The sequence below is a fragment of the Homo sapiens genome, chromosome 19, assembly GCF_000001405.40.
Source record: "Homo sapiens chromosome 19, GRCh38.p14 Primary Assembly".
Taxonomy (NCBI): domain Eukaryota; kingdom Metazoa; phylum Chordata; class Mammalia; order Primates; family Hominidae; genus Homo; species Homo sapiens.
Window position 1 is genome coordinate 41,906,924 of NC_000019.10, and position 21,860 is coordinate 41,928,783.

At 58.8% G+C, this 21,860-nt stretch overlaps 2 protein-coding genes across 17 annotated transcripts in view, besides 3 other annotated features; one reads left to right on the top strand and one right to left on the bottom strand.

The window, feature by feature from the left end:
* Nucleotides 1-21,860, top strand: part of ARHGEF1 (Rho guanine nucleotide exchange factor 1) — a 46,958-nt gene that overhangs the window by 23,740 nt on the left and 1,358 nt on the right. For 10 of the 16 annotated variants that reach the window (NR_173093.1, XM_047439662.1, XM_047439664.1 and 7 more), the window contains one exon: nt 182-529. Coding sequence is in view for 7 of the 16 variants with exons in the window: in XM_047439662.1 (XP_047295618.1) it covers nt 182-490 (309 nt within the window). In the remaining 9 variants the exon portion in view is untranslated. Of the gene's footprint in view, nt 1-181; nt 530-16,168; nt 16,311-21,582; nt 21,800-21,860 lie in introns of those variants that run through there. The other 6 variants (NR_173096.1, NR_135626.2, NR_173095.1 and 3 more) reach the window with 3 other exon arrangements.
* ERFL (ETS repressor factor like) lies at nt 781-21,526 on the bottom strand. Its single transcript, NM_001365103.2, has 6 exons — nt 21,117-21,526; nt 5,930-6,009; nt 2,940-3,174; nt 2,353-2,548; nt 2,137-2,254; nt 781-1,753 (listed from the first exon to the last, which is right to left on the bottom strand). Exons 2-6 carry the CDS (start codon nt 5,994-5,996, stop codon nt 1,305-1,307), a joined length of 1,065 nt encoding a protein of 354 aa, NP_001352032.1. The 5' UTR covers nt 5,997-6,009; nt 21,117-21,526; the 3' UTR covers nt 781-1,304.
* Nucleotides 13,521-14,202: an enhancer, noted in NCBI's record as "H3K4me1 hESC enhancer chr19:42424596-42425277 (GRCh37/hg19 assembly coordinates)". NCBI's record gives its function as "activates a minimal SCP1, AML or CMV promoter by ChIP-STARR-seq in naive H9 embryonic stem cells {active_cell/tissue: H9 hESC(naive)}" and the evidence as "EXISTENCE:reporter gene assay evidence [ECO:0000049][PMID:30033119]".
* Nucleotides 15,146-15,773: an enhancer, noted in NCBI's record as "NANOG-H3K27ac-H3K4me1 hESC enhancer chr19:42426221-42426848 (GRCh37/hg19 assembly coordinates)". NCBI's record gives its function as "activates a minimal SCP1, AML or CMV promoter by ChIP-STARR-seq in naive H9 embryonic stem cells {active_cell/tissue: H9 hESC(naive)}" and the evidence as "EXISTENCE:reporter gene assay evidence [ECO:0000049][PMID:30033119]".
* Nucleotides 21,472-21,651: a silencer, noted in NCBI's record as "silent region_10676". NCBI's record gives its function as "represses an Ori minimal core promoter by ATAC-STARR-seq in GM12878 lymphoblastoid cells {active_cell/tissue: GM12878}" and the evidence as "EXISTENCE:reporter gene assay evidence [ECO:0000049][PMID:35858748]".

Consider the following 21,860-nt stretch of genomic DNA (forward strand, 5'->3'; position numbering starts at 1 on the left):
CACCTCGTGTTTCTCATCTCTGTGTCTCTGTTTCTGATAATCTGTTTCTCTGTCTCTGTGCCCGCCTGCCTCTCCCCACCTCCCCTTCTCTCTCTGCTCTCCCTGTCTTGTCTCTGTGTCTGTCTCTCCCTGTCTCTCTCTCCATCTCTCCCCGTCTCCCCTCTTCTCCTACATCCCCCAGGCCTTTTGCAAGAAGGAGAGGAATGGGGGAGAGGACGTGAGGGACCACCCCCACCCACACAGCTGCCGCAGCATCTCACACCCCGAGGGCCTGAGGAGAGGGAGCTGTGGGCCACGCCTGGGAGGGGCCCAGCTGGGGTTACTGGCCCCGCATGAGCCTCGGCCATCTCTCCCTCCTGCCCTCTGCTTGGGGGACTCAGGGCTCCATTCTGGAGGGCACCACGGTGACCCGGGCCATCTCAGTATTGCCTGTGGGGGCCACCCCTCCACCCCCACCCCCAAGTGCCTTCGCTCTGTTTTTATACCCTGAATTGGAGGTTTATTTTTTAATATATATTATCTAAGAAGAGATCTGTGTGTGTGATGGCGGGGTGGGGCCTGGCATGGCGTCTGGAACTCTCTGTGACTGTCTGGCGTTGACATCCTGGGTCTGTGCCTCTGCGCCTCCCTCCAGTTGTTCATTCATTCATTCATTCATTTCTTTGTTTGAACCGTTACTCCCCAGGCACTCCGTACACACACTGGGTATGAGGCGTCTCCCTGACACCGCCCTCCAGCTCCCACCCCCGATCCCCCATGCTCAGCACTGGGCACCCCGAGTCTCACTCTCTGTTCTTTTATTTCTGTAGTAAACTCTCTGGAGGTGACTGTTGGGATCATGGGGAGCTGGTGGGGAGGGGGGCCCCTCCTGGGTGGGGGCTGGGGGCGGGGTTATTGCTCTGAGCTCCCTGTCCCCAGGGGGGCCTATATGGGGGGGGTGTCAGGACTGGGGCCAGCACAGGGGGTTTGGAGACACGGCCACACAAACACTTGGGGCATAGCACAGGGGTGGGCGGGCGGGGCAGGCTGGGCGCCATATTGCACTTTGGGAGTGGGGCCAGGCGGGGACCCCCCTCAAACTGGAGCCTGGGGAGGAGGCCGGAGGCCATCACATTCCCTCTGTCCTCTGTGGAGGGGGAAGTGAGACCCCCCCCACTCTGGGGCTGGGGAAGGAGACTGGGGCAGCAATGTGCCCAGACCTGGGAGGTGCTGAGGGCTGGTCCTGGGCCTTGGGCCAGGCATCAAGGGCAGACGGGCAGCCACCCTGGTCCCTGCCTCAGCAGAATCCATTGCCCCCTGCCGGCTCAGCTGCCGGTCCCCCCTTTGCCCGCCTTTGCCTTGGGGGGTGCCGGGAGACCCTCATCGCCCTCGCTGTCAGAGCTGCAGCCGCTGACGTCGGTGATCTCCAGCTCCGAGTCGCTGTCCTCCTTCCCACCAAGGGCAGCCTCTGGACCCCCAGCCCCTGGCAGCGCCAGGCGAGGGGCCGCTGCCAGGCCCGAGGGGCGCTCGGGGCCCAGGCCCTCCCCTGTCGAGGCCAGCAGGGGCGTGGCTGTGGGGCCTCCCCCTGCCCCTGACGAGGGCAGGTGGCCCAGGGAACTGGCCAGAGGGTTGGGGTAGAAATGCGGGGGGTAGAGAGAGGGAGGCAGCTTGGGGAAGGGGCCCGTGAGGTACGGGTTAAAGTTCCAGGGGTACTCAGGGAAGGCGCGGCCATAAGGACCCAGCAGGCCAGGGGGCTTGGAATAGCTGGTGGCACCTGGGGGGCACAGGGGTAGGTCAGGCTGGGGCACCTGCCTGCCTGGGGACCAGTAAAGGGGGCTGCCTCCCTGCCATATCCCACCCCATCTCCCCGCATCCCTCCTACATGGCATCTTACCCCCTCATACAGCTTCCCCCAACTCCATCTCCTCCCACTCCCCCACTTGTCTTCCCATTCCTTAGGCACCCCTGAAAGCCCCTGTCTCCCTCATTTCCCCTCCCTCACATCACATCCTTTTCTGGGTTTTACACACACACACCCTACAACCTGGCCCTGGGCCCCCTTCCCCATCTCTTCTCTTGTCTTTTCTCATCCTCTTCCCTCAAGCCTGCAGCTTCTCCCACTGTGCCCCCAGCACCCCAGAACCTCCAGGCTCTTACCAGAGCCCAGGAATGGGAAAGGGCTGTCCAGACGCAATTTATCTGTCTCGGAGGTGAACAGGGGTGTCCGGGCCCCTGGCTCTCCCAGGCGTGGGGCAGAGAACAGGGTTTGCAGGGTCTAGAGAGGGAGTGGGAGAAGCCGCCCTTCTCAGACTGTCCCCTCCCCAGAGTGGGCACCAAGTGCCTCGGTTCCAGGACCCCAGTACCCAGACTCACCTCAGGGGTGAGGGGAGGAGCATCTGGCCCTGGGGCCCCCCCAAAGGGACTGGGGGTCAGCAAGAGTGGGGAGCCAGTGGCAGCTGCCGCCATGTCCAGCAGCGGGTAATTGACAAGCACGACTTTGCTGAAGTTGAACTTGTAGGTGAACCTCTTCCCTTTGGTCTTGTGGAGAATCCGCTTGTTGTAGTAGTAACTGTGGGGAGAGTGGTGGTGTTGGGGAGGTGCAGGGGGAGCCCTGGGGCGGGATCTGGGGTTTCTTAATGCGTGTGCTGTCCCAGGCATGGTGCACAGAGCACTAGAACTTGGGGAAACTGAGGCTCACAGAAGTCCCTTAATAGGGATCACAGGGCAAGGAAGGGATGAGGCAGGAGCGGGGACCCTGCCCTGCAAGACTCCAAAGCCCAGGTTTAGGGGTCCCTCCTCCTCGCCTCCCTTCCACTCACAAGTAGCGATGGTGGCTACTCACGCACAGCCCTGTGCCTTGTGGGATCCAGCAGGAACCTGCCCCAGGATGCAGAGGGGGCACCAGAGGGACAGTTGGGGGAAAAGGACAAGGTGGGATCCAGCCCCAAGCCCTTCCTCACCGCAGGGCCCGGCTCAGCTTGTCGTAATTCATGTGGGGCTTGCATTTGCGAATACCCCACAGCCGGGCCACCTCATCGGGGTCTTTGATGACGAATTCCCCGTAGTCCCCCTGCCAGGCTATGACGCCCTGGTACTCCTCCTTCTGCAGCAGCTCCAGGATAAAGTGCCACAGCTGGATCTGCCTCGAGCCAGGGGATGACTCTGGCTTGTAGGCCCAATCCGGGAAGGCAAACCCTGGGGACGGGAGGCAGGGAGTGGCCTGGGGTCAGGATGCCAAGTCCAGGGCTCTGGGTCCTGCTGGACTCAGTAACCTGGGAGGCATGTAGTTCTCCTCCAGTCTCAGGCATCTTTAGGGACCTGGTTTCCACACTCCAAACCTCCTCCCTTTGTGTCTGGTCCCCAAATTACCCAAATAAGGGCAAGAACCCAGTCATCCAGGGACCCTGGGTTGGTACCAGTCTGATCCCCTACCTTGGCATAGCTCCCCCAGGCTCAGCATCCAGAGGTGGAGTTGGGAGGGACTGGCTTCCTGCACCCATGACAGTGAGGAGGAATGGGGAGGGGCACCCGCCTCCAACAGCGTTAGTCCTCTCACTGCCCCCAGCCAGCCCTAGGAGGTCTCTAGTCTCTTGTACCCTGCGGTGCCCTCAGCTCTTACTGTCTCTGTTCCCCATTCCCTGTCCCCTGCTCCACCTTTCGACATTCCCCAGAGCCCCCCACTGACCCATCCTGGCATATCCAGGCTGCAGCTCTGTGCATGTCTGTACCTGCCTGTGTATTTGTACCTTTCCCGTCCCTGTGTCCCCTCCACCCCATATCCATGCCCATGTCCGTCCAAGAGCAGTCCAGAACGATGTGTGTGTGTGCGTGGACACACACATGCCCACGGAAGACATGTCACACAGACATCAGTTCACTTGCCTGAGACACACAGCCACACTGGGACACAGGCACACCGGAGTGCCACACTCATGCTGGGGGCCACCAAGGCTGACATGGCAGACACAGGCTGCGCAAGACTCAAGGTCACGTCATCTCAACAACCCCACAGTGCACACCCATCACAACACAGAATTACACATCTCAAGACTGGGACTTACTAACAACACAAATGCCTGACAAGACACACACAGGACCCCAAATGCCCAAAGAACACACTGTACGATGGAGACGGTGAACACAGCACCAAGATATCCATGTCCCCAGACACACAGGGTGACAGCATGTCAGTAGAGCAACTTCCCAAACCTGCACACAGAGGCACCCACATGTCAGCACTGACACCCCCGGCTCACTCAGCATCACGTCTCACATGCAGAGGGGAGTACTCCACTGTCCACATACCCCCAGGAGCTGGGCACCCCGAAATCTCATCTCCCATGCAGAAGGCCCCAAGCCCTGGGTCCAACTTCTGTGTTCACTCTTATGCCACATCCTCTGTCCCCTTCCCCCTCCTCAGAGACCCCAGACCCAGGCATGAAAATAGAAGGCAGAGTGAGTCCATAAAAAGCTGGCAGCAGTGCAGGAGAGAGGAGACTGCTGTGCGCCAGGGCAGGGGAGACCAGCATCGCCGTGTCCACTTGCTGTGTGATTACGGGCAGGTCCTTACCCTCTCTGGTTTAGAACTGCACAGGTGGAAGGCAAGGGGGCGCAGGGTCCCACCCAGGCTGCCTGGTGTAGAAAAGTGGGTGCTTGTGCCTCCCGGCCTGAAGGCCGGGGAGCTCCAGGCAGTCTCCTTGAGGGAGAATTTTTATCTCCATTCATTTTTGGGTCTTTCTCACCTCCCATGACAGGGCTGGATCCAGACTCCAGCTCTGACCCATTCCACACCCAGAACACATCCTACTGGGGAGGCAACTGTATCACAGACACACCCACAGGACCCCAAGGTGACAAGAGGACACCCAACCCGATACTCCATCTGTCCTCAAATGCACACCCTCAAATATGTTGTACCTATGAGGCACAGGCACAGCTAGAGAGAGGACCCCCAAACTCAGTAGGCAGACACACACATGTGACAGACAAACCCCCAGAATTCACTCATGTGCACATGGACCCTACGCTGAAAACCAGACACAGCCCCCAACACAGAGGCCCAGGGATGCATCCCCCCCACAGCCCCAAATGCACCAAGACAGCCATGCGGAACGCCACACAACCCGAGACAGACCGCAAGAAACAGGCAAAGGCTCCTCACCCCACTCAGGCAGAGGCACAGTCGGAGAGCTGGCAGACGCCCCCATCCCAAAATGCGGACACGCCCAGCCCAGAGACACTCAAGTAGCCTCAGATGTGCACGTACAAGCAAATACACAAGCTCACACAAAGACAGGCTGTGCAGACACATTCTCCCAGTGTGACCCCTTCTAGAAACACTGAAGTGTGACACAGGGACACACTGAAATGAGACCCCAAATAACCAAGGACAGAGTCTCTGTCTGTCTCTCACACACACACACACCCCTCCCGCTGCACATCAGCATGGTGTCTGACCAGCTTCACCGTCCACCAACCCCGGTTGCAAGCTGTCCTCTTTCCTGGGTCTCGGTCTGGCCGGGTCGTGCCTGCACGTACCCCTGACTGGGCAGTGCCGTCTGTCTACCTGTCCATCCGTGCCTGGCCTAGTGCCCCCTCCAGCCCAGTCCCTGCTCTCTTTTCCCCGCAGGTCCTGCGTGGGAGCAGGCTGAGACGTGCGTGGCAGGGATGCCCGGGCCTCGGGCCCCTCCGTCCTCACCCCTCACTCACTTCCGTACCCTCCCAGAAGACCCACCTATCCCCCCAGCACGCAGGGGGCAGGGGAATCTGGCTGCGAAGTTTTTAGCCAAGTTTCTCAGAAGGGGTTTGATTTGGGGGACTGACCAAGACTGAGAGAGAAGGACCCACGGACTAGAGTGAGACACGTGGAGACACGGAGAGAAGGGGGATGCGGCTCACTGGGGAAGCCTGAGGGGTGGGGGAAGGGGTGGGGGAGGTCCGGGCCAGTTACCGGGGGTCCAGAGAGCCGGCAGGGCGGGCGGGGCGAAGAGAAGGTCGGAGACGCAGCTACAGTCCATGGCGGAGCCGGCCCTGCAGAGGCCGGGAGGGACACACGGGGACGGGGTGGGCAGGAGAGACAGACACAGGTCAGCCAGCGGGGCGCTGCCCGGGGCCTTCCCCTCTCCCAGGTCCCCACCCCAGCCTGACACCCTCTCCCCGCAATCCCTCCTGCCCACTCCCTCCCGCAGGCACCGCTCTGTCCCCAGCCGTTCCCGGCCCCGAGACCCCGTTCCTTCCCTCCCAGCCTCTCCTCCCGCAGCCTCCTCCTCACTCGGTGCCTCCATCACTAACTACGCCGCTCCCAGCCTCCCTCCCCGCTCCCCGCCACTCGCTCACGCTCTCACACTCGCTGGCTCTCACGCCCGCCCGCCCGCCCGCCGCTCGCGCCCCGCACCGTCTCTGCTGCCGTCTCCCGTCCCCGCTCTCCCGCCTGACCTCCCGGGTCGGTCGGTCCCTGCGTCTCTGGGTCTCCCTCTGTCTCTCTCTCTGGCTGCCCCAGATTTATCTTGTTCTATAACTTGCCCCCACACCCGCCCCACCCGGACGACCCCCAGGCGGGCTCTTCCAGCCCAGGCGCAGCCCTGACCCGCAGCCGCCCAGGACGGGCTGCAGGGGGGCAGGCCCAGCACCCCCTCCTCCAGTCCTCTACCCCACAGGGCAGCCCCCAGCGCCCTGCAGGAGGCCTCCACAGACCCTAGACCTGCTGCTCACCCTGAAGACCCCTGTCACTTGGATCTGCCTCCCTCCTCAGACACCCCTTCCCCTCACATCTGCCTCCCCTGTCAGACCCCCTCCCTCAGACACTCCCTCTCCCTAGATATCTTACGCCCCTAAGATACTCCATCCCCTCCTCACTCCAGTCTCCCCGCACCTTTCCCCCTCTTATGGCGCCTCCCCTCCACACACACACCCTTGCAATCCACTCCCTCTCACACCCCTCCGCAGACACACGCTGCCCTCGCGCTCCCGAGACCCCTCCCCTCAGGCACTTCAGCCCCTCACTGCCACCCTCACACCCCACCTCTGGAGCACCTTCTTCCTGGAGACCCCCCAGACGCTCTCAAAAACCCACTCCTCTTAGACACCCTGATACTCCCCACTGCTCCCATGCGCCCCCCAGCCAGAAACCCCTCAGACCCTGGCAGCCCACACTGTGTTCCCCCGTGAGCCCCGCCTACCCCTGGACACTGGACAAAACTTTTCAGACACCCCATGTCCCCTCAGACTCGCCCGGTCTCCCCACAGAGGCCCCAACCTCAGATGCCCCCACCTCCCATCTGCCTCCTGGAGCCTCCCCTGTCCCAGGCCCCCTCTGTTCCCACACCTGTCTCCCCGTCTTTCTCCATCTGCCCCGTCTCGGTATCTCTCCCTCTCCATCTCTGTCTCTCCGGTCACTTGGTCTCTTCTCCCTTCCGTCTCCCCCCACCATCTCCCTTCCATTTCTGTCTCTCTCCTCCACCAAGGGGGTCTCTCTCCCCACCTCACTGCCCTCTCCCTCTCGTCTCCATCTCCTCCTCCACCCCTCAGTCTCTTCCCTGTTTCTCCATCTCTCACCCCTGCTTCTTCTCCATCTGTCTCTCCATCTTCCCAGTGTGTCCATCTCTGTCTCCCTATGACTTTCTCCCCATCTCTGCTATCCGTCTTTCCCTCCCCTTCCACCATCTCTGTCTCCGTCTCTCCCTCCCTTTCCACCATCTCTGTCTCTCCCTCCCCTTCCACCATCTCTGTCTCTGTCTCTCCCTCCCTTTCCACCATCTCTGTCTCTCCCTCCCCTTCCACCATCTCTGTCTCTCCCTCCCCTTCCACCATCTCTGTCTCTCCCTCCCCTTCCACCATCTCTGTCTCTCCCTCCCCTTCCACCGTCTCTGTCTCTCCCTCCCCTTCCACCGTCTCTGTCTCTCCCTCCCCCTCCACCGTGTCTCCCCCCCTTTCCACCGTCTCTGTCTCTCCCCCCCTCCACCATCTCTGTCTCTCCCTCCCCTCCATCATCTCTGTCTCTGTCTCTCCCTCCCCCTCCACCATCTCCGTCTCTGTCTCTCCCTCCTCTTCCACTATCTCTGTCTCTCCCTCCCTCCCCCTCCAGCATCTCTGTCTCTCCTGTCTCTGCCCCCACCGTGTCCCTGTCCCGCGTCTCTCCAGCAGCCCCGCTCCCCCACACCTCTCCCCCACCCATCGCTCTCCCACCTCCCGCTCTCTTTGCCTCTCAGGGTCCCCCTCCTTCCTCCCCCCGCCCCCACCCCCTATTGGCCCCTCTCATTTCCGTGTTGGTTTTGATTTCTCTTCCCGACGCTTTCAACTCCCCGCCGCCTCCTCCGGACACGTTATAACGAGGAGCCGTGGGATCGGCGCTCCGGGCCCTGCTCCCACGCTCCCCCCGCCGTGTCTCACACGCGTCTCTGCCATCTCGCAGTCTCTGTGCCCAGCCTTCGTCCTGTGTCAGGCCCCACAGGGACCTGGACCCCTCGCCCTTGCCCATCGCCTCTGCCGCCCTGTCCCCGTCCGTCTGTCCGTCCCTCCCATCTCTGGGTCTCCATGCCTCCCTGTCTCTTGGTTCCCACGTCGTCTCCACTTCTGTGTCCCCACGTCTCTGTGTCCCCATGTCTCTGGGTCTCCACATGGCTCTGTTTTAATGTCTAGGGTCTCCACACCCCTGTCTCCGTCTCCACATCTCCATATCTCCTCCTCCTCAAGTCCCTGTCCTGTCCCCATGTCCCCCATCTCTGTCTCATCTGTCTCTGTCTCCATGCCCCATCTCCCTGTCTCTGTGTCTCTGTCTCCATGTCTCCATCTCCATGTCTCTATGTCTCTGTCTCTGTTTCTGTCCCGGTGTCCGTCTCTTGGGGTCCCTTTGATCTCACCCTGCCCCTGGCGCCCCCCTGGCCCCATTGATCGCTGATCGACTGATGGAGGGAGCGCGGCCTGCGGGGCCTGGGGCTGCAGGGCCAAACAGGGCCTGGCAGGACGGCCGGACAGATGGACAAACGGCCCCAGCCCCAGTGGCTGTGGATGGGGAGCAGCCACAATCCCCCACCCCCCTCCCCCCCGCCGGCCGGCGTGGTGCGGATGGGTACTCCAGGCAAGCTTTAATTTTTAATTTTATTTTGCTTCCTCCACCCCCCCTTCGCCCCCCATCTCTACCGCCCGCAGCCATGGCACCGAATGTGTGTGCGCATGTGAGCGAAGCGGTGTGCAGAGGCGCTGGGCAGGCGAGGGCCCTCCTCCCTTCTCTCCCTGCCAAGCACAACCACACAGACCCACACACCAACCCAGGCACGCACACCACCACGTCCCACACAGCACACATCGCACAGATGCACACACCAGCACAGCCACACACACACCATCACATACCACACACTGCATGAGCCCACATGTCAACAAAGTCACACACAGCACCACGTCCCACACAACACATCACACACACCAACAAAGCAACGCATACCACTGCTGCCACACACAACCCACATCACACAGATGCATGTGTCAGTAAAGTCACACACCAACACTGTCACAGTCACACACACACACATCAGCATAGTCACAGATGCACAGAAACAGACACACAGTTTTACACAAATACACACATGACACATCAATTCAATCTCACACAGAAACAAAGACACAAAATCACAAATCCTAGACACACTGTGTAAACACATAATCACACACTGAGGCTCACAATCAAATACAGAAACCCAGATTCCCAAGCACACAATCGCACACTGAGACAACAGCACACAGAAACAGACACACAGTCACACAACCAAGCACCACCGACCCTCGAGCGCATACATATGCACTTGGTCACGCATGGAGCCGTAGAGATACACACACCAGCACCAACCCAGACAGCCAACGCACACGGCCACACACACACCCATTCACAGACACAGTCACAATCACACACACACACCAAGATCACGGACCCAAACATACGACCGACAGCGGCCCCTGCAGAGGTACACACAGACACACCCAGACACACTGGGTAGGGGTGGGCACTCAGAGATGACCCCAACCCAAGGCCCCTGCCACTCCTGCTCCCACCATCCCCATCTGTCTGCCTGTCCCTCCATCTGTGAACTTCCCAAGCATGTCTCTGCATGGGTGTGTGTGTGTGTGTGCACATATGTGACACGTGCCCTTGTCTCAGACCTGCTTCTGTGACTGCCTCTCGAGACACAGGTCTCTCGGTCTCTCTCAGCCCCTTCGGGTGTCGGCGCATCTTTCTGTCTGTCTCTGTCACTGAGGGTCTCTGTCTGTCTCTGTCAGAGAGGGTCTTTTCTGCTCATCTTGGCCTGCCTGTCTTTCTAAATATCTCCATCTCTGAGTGTCTCTGTTTCCCCCATCTCTCTCTCTGGGTGCATCTCTCTGTCTCTCTCTGTCTCTGTCCCTCTCTGTCTCTGAGCTCTCTGTCATCTCTCTCTGCCTCTGTCTCCTAACGCCCCATCACCACGCCCCCCTGGGCTGGGGTTTAACCAGTTGTTTTGATTTCTCTAAGCTGCGCCGGCCGCCTCGGGAGCCGCCTCGGGCCTCGCACCCCCACCACCAGCCCCTTCATCCCTCACCCAGGCCCCCCCATCCCCACCTCCCCTTAACACAATCTGCACAATCGGAATGAAAATTGATTTTTTTTTTAAATTTCATATCTTCTCCGGGGCTCTGTCTAAAGAGGAGAGAGACGCGGCCTAAGACCCTTCTGCCACCGCCGCCCCCGCATGCACACACCATGCCCCAAAGCACACGCACGCACGCACACACACACCCTGACTGCACCCACCCATGGCCACACGTTCAGGCACAATCTGGGGACATATCTCTCCTTACGCCACACGCCCATGTAGGACACATCTGTGCACACAGTAGAGACCCACAGTGACACCCACTAGTAGGCACACACACACCATGCACAGCCCCAGCCATGGGACGGCTGCCAGCCCCACCCATCTGTTGCCACACAAACGAGCCCCCAACACCCTGTCCCATCTGGGTGCACGAAGCCAGCTCCCCGCGGTCACACACTGTGTGTGTGTGTGCTCACACACCTGTCCGTCCAGACTATAGCCACGTCCATGTGTACACAGAGCAGGCTCAGGGGCCGGCCCTCGACAGGCACCAGGAGACCCTGTGCCTGTCTTGGAGAGGAGGGGGTTCAGGGGTGATGTGGGGTTTCCTGCATGGGCATGCCCCCCCATCCCGGACGCCACCCCCATTCCCACACTGCCCACATCAAATGCTCTGGCCTGACCCTGGTTGGGGGTGCCTTTGTGCCTGGGGTGTACACATACCCCACATGTATACGCCACATATACACCACACATACCACATATACACACCACAAACACACCATACATACACACCCCCACCACACACATACCCACCACATACACCACAGACACACCTAGCCCCACACACCACATACACACACACGGTACACACCACATACACCATACACACACCATACCACACACACCACACATACACCACATACACATACCATATCACACACACCACACACATATCACACACACACATAAATACACCACACATGCACCACCTACACACCACACACGCACCACGCACACCACACACACATCACACACACACCACACACATCACACACACACCATACACTCACCATACACACACACATCACTAACCCTCACATACACCACACACAGTACATACACTACCCATCACAGACAAACCACACACACCACATCACTAACCCTCACATACACCACACACAGTACATACACTACCCATCACAGACACACCACACACACCACATATCCGCCACACACCACACACACCACGTACACACCACACACCACCCCACACATACACACACCACATATACATCTACCACACACATACCACACACTGCATACACACCATACACACACACCACATCACTCTCACATACGCCACACATGCTACACTACCCATCAGACACACCACACACCACATATCCACACACACCACATACACTACCCATTACACACATACACCACACACACATGCACACCACATACACTACTCACCATACACACATGCACACCACACACCACACACACACACACCGCATATACACCACACACATCACATACACACCATGCCACAGACACTATACATCACACCACATACACAACACTGCATACACACACCCACACACATTACACCACACCACATGCCACACATAACACACATACCACACACATCACCCACATACCACACACCACACTCACACACCACTCGCAGCTTACTACTCTCAATACCACACCTTGTAATCCCCACATGGACACACACAAAACCAGTCATCCTTAACACACAGACCCACAGAAAACACACAGAAGCACACAGGGTGACACCAGAAACAGCTTCACACACAGACTTCGGCACAAGTTCACAGAAGTTGCAGACACATGCGCCATCCAACAGCCACACATAAACATGCAACCACACAAACATACACAATCAAACATACACAAACAGTCATCAGTGCTCTTTAGGGCTGGACACACAGTATCACTCAATTGTTATGAACCAACACTCAAGCTGGTACATTCAGCTCCTACAAATTACCACCCACGTGTGCACGTGCACGCGTACACACACACACACACACACACACGTCCACATCTGAACCCAGACTCAGACACAAGCCCACAAGCTCAGAGACACAACAGCAACCCCCGAACACCAACACAGCGCCACACAAACACACAGCTGGTCTGTGACACACAAGATTTTGGGGGCTCTTCCTCAGCTGCGTCCTTCACACCCACACTCACCAGCCCAGCTGCCGGGGTCCTCTCAGGGTCGCACTCACTTGGTCCTTCCACCCTGTTTCTCTGGGACTGAGCCTCCTCATCTTGCCCTCAGAGATAACTGCCCCAGGTCCCTGAGGCCTACCCTGCACAGCCACACCATGTGAAAACACCAGACATGGCACAACTCCAGAGCTTTGGACGGTCACACCAGACGCAGCTGAGCACCACACACGTCACACAGACATGACACGCTCACAGACATGATACGCCCAGACGTGACGAACTCACAGACATGACACGCCCACAGACGTGACACACCCAGACATGACGAACTCACAGACATGACGCGCTCACAGACATGATACGCTCACAGACATGACACACCCAGATGTGACACACTCACAGACATGACACGCTCACAGACATACACTCACAGACATGACACGCTCACACATGCGCTCACAGACATGACACGCCCAGACATGATGCACTCAGACATGACACGCTCACAGACATGCGCTCACAGACATGACATGCCCAGACGTGACACTCAGACGTGACGTGCTCAGACGTGAGGCACAGACATGACATGCTCACAGACATGATAACGCTCACAGACATGCGCTCACAGACATGACATGCCCAGACGTGACACACTCAGACGTGATGCACTCAGACGTGACGCACAGACATGACATGTTCACAGACATGACATGCCCAGATGTGACACACTCACAGACATGACACACTCACAGACATGACACGCTCACAGACATGACACGCCCAGACATGATGAACTCACAGACGTGACACACAGACATGACGCACTCAGACATGACACGCTCACAGACATGATGCACTCACAGACAGGACACGCCCAGATGTTACGCACTCACAGACGTGATGCACTCACAGACAGGACATGTGTGGCTCCACTCAGCACCCATACTTAGTCACCTGTGCCCAGGAGCACGCATGTCTACACAGATCACATTCACAGACACTGTGACACAAGTCACACAGTCATGTGCACATGCGCACACACACACTCGGTCTTCTGCCTCGACTGCACTGTGCAGGACACACAGAGGGACAGAATGGCAGACAGGGCAGTGGATTCCCAGGCTGGGGAAGGTGTGTCTGCTACCCTCGCTTGAGAGGTGGGGAGGCTCCAGGCCAGAGACAGAGAGGCCTGTGGGTGGGGCAGGGGTGGAGACCCACACCCCCCTCCCTCTGTCTCTCCCTCTCTGTCTCTGTCTCTGCCTCCGGCCCTGTGTGTGTGTCTCTGCATCTCTGTCTCTCTCCCTGAGTCTCAGTCTCCGCACGATGTCCCTGGGGCTGCGGACAGCAGCGCTCCGAATGGTGTCAGTTGAGGGGTGGCGAGGGAGCGTCCCCGGGGAGGTGGGAGCCGCAGTGCCACGCACCCCGCCTACCAAACAGCTCTGGGGGAGGGGAGAGGGAGGGTGGAGGCGCCACCGTGAGGCGAGGCGGAGGGAGGTCTGGCTGCTCCCCAACCTCACTCGTGGACCCCGCCTCCCCTCAGAGACCCAGAGAGATGGAGGAACTGGAGGTTGGGGTGGGGGGCACAGAGAAGGGGAGACATGCAGGGAGGAAGAGAGACCGAGGGGGTGGAGCGTGATACATGGAGAACTGAGAGGAAGCAGGAGTGAGACACGGAGGGAGATGGAGGGGGATAGGCGGGACATGGGGAACCCCACCAGGGGAAGGCACAGAGAAGGAAAGAGACACAGAGGACAAGGACAGGTCCCACAGAAACAGGAAGCAGACTGGGAGCCACATGCACACGCAGAGAGAAGAGAGAGACAGAGACAGAGAGACAGGCAGGGGGAGATCCGAGGTGGGGAAACACGGCAGAAGGAGCGAACCAGAGAGGCTGAGACAAAAGTAGATTAGAAAGCTGGAGGTCACGGGAGAGCGAGGGCCGCACCGGAGACCCTGGGTTGGGAGGAAGGAGAGAAGAGGGCAGAGATGCGGAAAATTGAGGGATTAGGGCAGAGGCAGGAGAGGGATGCAGGCGAGCCCGGCCCTGGAGGTGGAGTGGAAGGCTCAGGTGTAGGCCGGGTGGCGGGCAGACCTAAGGTGTGGATTCCTCGTCCTCCGCCCCACCTCGCCCTTCTTCAGTCCTAGGAGGTTGGTGTCCCCTGGGAGTCCGACCCATCCCAGCTTCAAAGCCCACCCTACCCCTCCTCCTCCTCATCTCCACCAGGCCCCACCCCACCCAGACCCCAGCTCCATCCTCTACCTCTCCTCCTGGTCCTCATCCCCAACTCCCACCCCTTCCCCACCCTTGCCTTCATTCTACCTCCACCCCCAGCCTCACTCCACATCGGGCCCCACCCCTCTATCAGAGTGACAGAAGGCAGGGAAATGACTGTTATTTGGTGATGCTGGAGGGGCGGGGGCAGAGAGCTGAAGCGGGGTGTGGTGTACACCAGAACCAGCTACTCAGGGAGCCCAGAGACCCAGAGTCCTTCTAGACGGCAACCACCAAGGGCCAGGGCTCAGGCATCCCGACAGAGCCCGGGGCTTGGCACCAAGAGTGTACTGAGGAAATTATGTTGAGGTGGAATCCAGATTAAACTGTGCTCAGCAGGGAATCAGGGAGACAGAGATAGCAGATCAAAGGGACAGAAAGCAGGAGATCAAGGGACAGAAATGAGGAGGGCAAAGAGACAGGGTCAGAGGGCTGGGGAAATAGGGATGGAGCCGAGAGCTAGAGGGGCAGATGGATGGGACTGAGATGCGGGAGCACACAGGGACAGGGAATCGGATGACAAGGAATTGAGGCCAAAAATGGGGAGAAGTGGGTGATCCAGGGTTAGAGAAAAGGAGGAACAGAGAAATGGGGTCAAAGACCCAGGAGGGCAAACATGAGGGGCAGAGAACTGGGAACCGGAGAGAGACTCCGAGGGACGAGGGACCAGAGGCAGTGGGGCAGGCCTGAGGGCTAGGGCAAGGGGCGGGGCCTGGGTGGGCTGAGGCTGGAGCTGGGTGCCGGGCCACCAGGGATCCCACAAGGGCCGGGGTCCAGCCGGGCTGGGGGGGACTCAGGGCTCCAGGGGCATCAGGCGCGGTGCTAATTCAGCGCCATCGATCAGATGGGATGAGAGCAATAAATTATTGTGACAAGATGCAATCCTGGCCCGCGCACTGCCGCCGAGGCGGATCGATCCCTGTCCCCAGCCCCACACCGGGTCCCATGCCCAGGCCTGGGCTGGAGGGGATGCCTCTGCCCACCTCTCCCTCCATTCTCCACCCTGCACACACTCACTCCCACTGACAGCCAGGTGAAGGGAATGTGAGGGGCAGCCTAGGGAAGAGGCGGGAGGGGGCTGGGGGAACCCACAGAGGGAAGTTCAGCGCCCCCTCTGACCCAGGCCTTTTGCTTCCCTCAGCACCCCATCCTCACCACCACCTGTGAGGTAGGAACTGCCATGATGGATGCCCATTTCACAGATGTGGAAACTGAGGTTCTGACAGGAAAAGTAACTTGGCCAAAGTCCCACAGGGATGAGGTGAGCCTGGACTTGAATGCAGGTCAGTATGACTCTAGGCCCCCGATATTTGTACTGTCAGAGGACAGAGCAAGGGCCAGAGACAGAAAAGGAGGAAAGAGACAAGACAAGGAGACAGACACAGAGTCCAGGATATGGAGAAACTGAGAGAGAGTCAGAGAGCTGTAAAGACCCTGTATGGAGAAAAACAGACACAGACAAAGACAACCAGAGAAATACAGAGAACAAAGAGAGACTGGGAGACAGACAGACAGAGACAAAAAGACAGGGTGAGACAGAGGAGTCGAGAGGCCAGAAACCAAGAGAGACAGAGAGACTCAGAATTAAGACAGGCAGACATGGACAGGGACAAGGAGACAGGGGCAGGTGGTGGCAAAGGTGGAAATGGAGAAAGGAAATGAAAGTGAGGGTGGGTGGAAAGGAAAGGCCAGCATGCAGGGAGGGGCGGTGTGGGAGGCAGGAGTGTGTCTGGGGAGGCAGGGGTGTGCTGGGAGGGGGCTGTGCTGGGGGGGTGTCTGGGGAGGCGGAGGTGTGCTGGGACGGGGCTGTGCTGGGGGTGTGTCTGGGGAGGTGGGGGTGGATCTGGGGAGGCGGGGGTGTGTTGGGAGGGAGCTGTGCTGGGGGGGTGTCTGGGGAGGCAGGGGTGTGCTGGGAGGGGGCTGTGCTGGGGGGTGGTAGGGGTGCGCTGGGAGGGGCTGTGCTGGGGGTGTGTGTGGGGAGGTAGGGGTATGCTGGGAGGGGGCTGTGCTGGGGGGAGGTAGGGGTGCGCTGGGAGGGGGCTGTGCTGGGGGTGTGTCTGGGGAGGTGGGGGTGCTCTGGGAGGGGGCTGTGCTGGCCCCAAACAGCTTGTGGGGGAGGTGGGGGTGAGCATGTGGAATGACAGCCTTAGCCCCAGGAGTCAATGAAGGGTGAGAAAGTGAGCCTGGAGAGTAGGGGAGATGGGGTTGGGAGGTAATGGAGAAGCAAGTGTCACCAAAGTCCCTAGGTGGATAGGTGTGTCTGTGGAGGGAGGAGGTCACCTGAGGGGCAGATGAGGGAGGTAAGGACACCTGGATGGCTAGGAGGGCAGTCTCTGAAGTCAGACAGCCTTGACTTGACTCAAATCTCTAACATCTACCTGTTTCTGGGACCTCAAAGAAACTCTCTGGACTCAGTTTCCTTCTCTGTAAAATGGGGACAAGAGGCAAGTACGTGCCTCATGAGGGTCCTGTGAGGACAAATGAGACAATGGGTGTGAAGAACTTGGTGTCTGTCACAGAGATGGATGGTGGTCTTAGTAATCGGGAGCTGTCATCACCATCACCCTCACCTTTATCCTCATTCTCGTTGTCGCCATCAGTATATATGGGGAGGGTAGGTGTTATGTGGTGGAACAGGTGGGGCACACATTACAAGCACCTGCTACTCAGAGAATGATACCTGGACCAGGTGTTTCTGATGCACATTGAAGTCAGATAACCTCGGACTTAAGATGCTGTGCAGTGCGGGGAGCAGGTGTGGGGGTGGCTGGGAACAGGCGACACATGTGTCTAACACATGCTACAGGTGTTATGCACGTGGAGGAAGGCGCTCCTCGAGGAGAGAGCTGGTCAGAGACACGTGCTAGGAAAGGGGACCGGTGTTTCTGGAGAGAAGCAGGTTGGAGACAGGTGTGAGAGATCTGAAGGTTTCTTCCTAAAGGTGTGGTGGTGACAAGCTGCAGGGACAGGTATCAAAAGTGAACATAGCAGAGAATGGGGCAGAGGTGTGCAGTGGGTTCCCAATGCTTGCAAAAGGTGCAAAGGGACTCCGGTCACATGGATGTTTGGGGGGAGGAAAAGGAGAGAGGTGGCTGGAGTGTGGGGAACCAGGTGCATGTCTGTGGGACAGGGCTGTTTTCAGGAGGTGACCCCTAGACCCAGCTGAAGAGATGTGAAGCAAAGAGAGATTAAGTGGGGGTATGCATAGTGGGTGTCGAAGCCTCGGTATCTGTTTGCTGATTAAATGATTTGAATGTGTTACCAGGGCAGAGGATTCCCTGGGATAAACAGGTGAGGAATGGCAGGTGCAGGGGGTTACTGGTGTGACCTTGTGCAGCAAGAGAGAGAGAGAAACATGGGAAATTAGGTATGTGGGAAAGAAGAGAAGTGGATAGAGAGTACCTGAGGGACAGGTGTGGGAAAACAGGTATACAGGTGACGCAGATACCTGTGGCCAAGGACAGACTCCTGCCCCAAACGTGTGTGTGTAAAGTAATGTTGTGTATAGTGAGAGACAGTGAGAGACCAGGAGAGGCAAAGACAGTGCAAGAAGGAGTGAGACACAGGTGAGCAAGTGTACAAGGGACCGGGAAACTCTGAGGGGACAAGAGCTTGGAGGAAGGCATAATGGCAGGGAAAGCCATGAGGAGGGTACTAGTGTGTGGATTGGTGATCAGGTGGTGCTTGGGGTTAGGACACAGGTGGGGAAGGTGCTTCTGTTGTCTGTGATGAGTAACCCGAAATGACAAGTAGGAAAGACAGGTACGGGGGAATCCTTGGAAGTCAGTGTACCTTGGAAGTCAGGTACAGGTAGAGAGGGATGTGAGCGACAGGTGTGCTCTTAGGTGACCTGTGTGTGGCCAGCTCTTCTGGAAGGGCAGGTGTTGGGGTGGTTAAGGAGGTGCAACACTGTCACGGAGGAGGATGGGTGAGGGCCAGGAGGCTGGGGACTGGTGGGGGCAGGCCTTACCTGAGGGGACAGGTTAGCAGGTTGCATGTGTGAGTGCTTGTGTGCAACAGAAGGAATGTGTGTGTGAGTGTGTGCATGTGTGGTGACTCGGTACTGCTTGAGAGGAGGAAGAGGTGAAGAAATACGAATGTGTGAGGAACAGGTGAGTTTGCAGCTTTAGGGGACAGGTGGGATGGCTCACGTACAGGTAGGAAGGGGCCAGTGTGACATGAAATGAGATAAAATGCAGGGATTCCAGTGGAAGGGGCAGATTTTAGAGAACAGGTATTACCTGGAGGGGCAGGTAAGAGGGGACGTATGCTCCCCGAGAGACCAGACATCTTAAGGGCAGGTGTGAGGGGGACAAGTGTTACCTGGAGGGGCAGGTGAGAGGAAATAGGTGTTACCTCCAGGGCAGATGAAGGGAACAGGTATGGAGGACAGGTGTTGCGTGCAGGCAGGTATGAGGAGATAGATGTTACCTGGAAGTCCAGATTTGGGGAGTTGAAGGGGGAACATGGATGTGACAGGTGCATTGATAGACAGGTGTGAAAGGTTAGTTACCTGAGGCCACAGGTGGGTGCAGTGTGACTCTGCCAGATGGTCTGCCACCTCGATTTCTCTCGCTCCCCTGTCCTCCCCTCCCTGGGGAGCCAGTTCTGGCTCTCGGGTCCCTCCCGTGGCTCTGGCCCTGGGTGGGGCACAGAGTTAGCTCTGGGCTAGGCGAGGCCTGGCCTGCTGGCCTGCCGGGCAGCCAGGGCCCCTGAGGCTGCTTGGCGATGCGGAGCGCGTCTGGGCCGCGGCGGCCGGCCGGGAGGGGGGAGCGGGCGGGGGGGCCGTTTAGCCGTGATAGATCCGCGCGCCGCTTGTCTCTTAATCTCCAGAGCGACCGATCGATTCGCTATTTCCCTTTGTTGCCAGAAAATTCGATCCTGGGCCTGGAATTAGGTCCCCGGCTTAATCTGAGCGGAAACCAGCGAGGGGGAGACAGAGACAGAGATGCTGGGAGAGACAGAGACAGAGAGACAGTAAGAGACAGAAAGAGGCAGAGAGAGAGAGATAGAAAGAGATGCCGAGAAAGGAAGAGAGAGAGATAGATGCCGAGAAAGGAAGAGACACAGGGAGAGATAAGCACAGAGATTTAGAGAGAGATAGTCTTAAGAGTTGGACCCAAAAAGGAAGAGAGAGATGCTGTGAGAGACAGAGATAGAGAGACAGATCCTGGGAGAGTTAGAGGTGGACACAGAGATGCTGTGAGAGACAGAGACAGAGAGACAGTGAGGAGAGACCCAGCCAGGGGAGAGATAACAGAAGTGGCCCAGCAGGGCCCTGCGACAGTGGTGGAATGATAGAAAGGGTGTCCCAGAGGGCCCCGGCCCCACGAAGGTCAGGGCCAGGCCTGTACTCCTTGCCCCGAAGTGTGCAGACCCCAGAATTGGCCCAAATGTCCTTCCCACAGACCCTGTGACCCCTCATACCAAATATCCAGACCCCAGATATCCAGATCCAAATTCGCAGACCCTTAGCTTTGAACTCCAACTCCAAATCCAGACTTCTGGCCCCCTCAAGTCCAAACTCCTATGCTGATCCCCAGTCCCAGATATCCACACCCCCAGTCCTGACTCCCAGCCCCAGTCAGCTCCCAACCTCAGATATCTAGATCTTCCGCCCCAAGTGTCCAGTCTCTTGGCTTTGAGCCCCTAGGTCCCAAATATGCAAGCCCTCAGCCCTGACCTCTAAACCCCACTCAGAATCTAGCCCCAAATATCCAGACTCCTCAGCCCCAAACATCCAAATCCACCTTCAGGTCGGCCACCAACCCCCGTTCCCAGATTTTCAGTCCAGTCTCTTGCAGACCCCATCTCCGTGGCTCTCACTCGCTCTCCCTCCCCGCCCCCAAATCTCGCACCCCTGTCCCGAGGCCGCACCTCTAGCGCTACCCGCCTCCCACCTTCCCAGAGTTGGGCGCTGCCCCACCTGCCCCTTACAGCCGGGGCGGATGACCCCATCCGCCTACCCCTCCACCGGCTCGGAGGCCCAGCTTCTCAGGCCTCCCGGGACCACCCCCGCGCCCGCCCCCTCCTGGGGCGGGAATCCCCGCCCCCTCCCCGCCCCTGCGCCGGCCGCGGCGCTCACTCACTTTCTGGGCTTTTCGCATCCGCTCCGGTCCGGGGAGAAGTGTTTAAAGTTCGGATCCCGCAGCCATGGCCCCCGCGGCGTCCTGGGGAGGGGGCACCGGGGCGAGGGGCGGGGTGGGGGGAGATGCCCGGAGCCCCGGGGAGGCAGAGACCCAGAGGACGAGGAGAGGGAGTCTCTGAGACGCCGGGACAGGAGAGACTCAGAGACGGAGAGACAGCCAAGGAGACAGAGACGGGGAGACGAGCAGAGACGGGGAGATGCAGAGAGGGAGAGAGACAGCGAGATAGACGCGCAAAGAGAGCAGAGACGGGGAGAGCTGAGGACGGAGCTCCGGGCTGGAGCTCAGCACAGCGAGCGCGGGCGGGCGCGCGCCGGGGACAGCCTGGCCGGCTGGGGGCGCGGGGCGGCCCTGCCTCCTGCGCCTTCTCCTCTTCCTCCTCTTCCTCCTGCTCCTCCTCCTCCTCGTTCTCCTCCTCCTCCCTCCACTCCTCTGCGCGCCGCGCGCCTCCCGCCCTCGCGGCCGCCCGGCCGGGCTCGGCTCGCAGATATATGGAGGCGGCGGCGGCGGCGCGGGGGAGGGGGCGGGGGCGCGATCGATGGAATATAATTTTCCTCAAACTCGGAAAATAAAGTTCAGAGCTGATCAAATTTGAAAACAGATGTCGAATCGCGACTCTAAATAAGGTTCGATCCCGGGACTGAGGGAGTGGGGGTGGGGCGGGGGTGGGTGGAGAGGTGGAGAGAC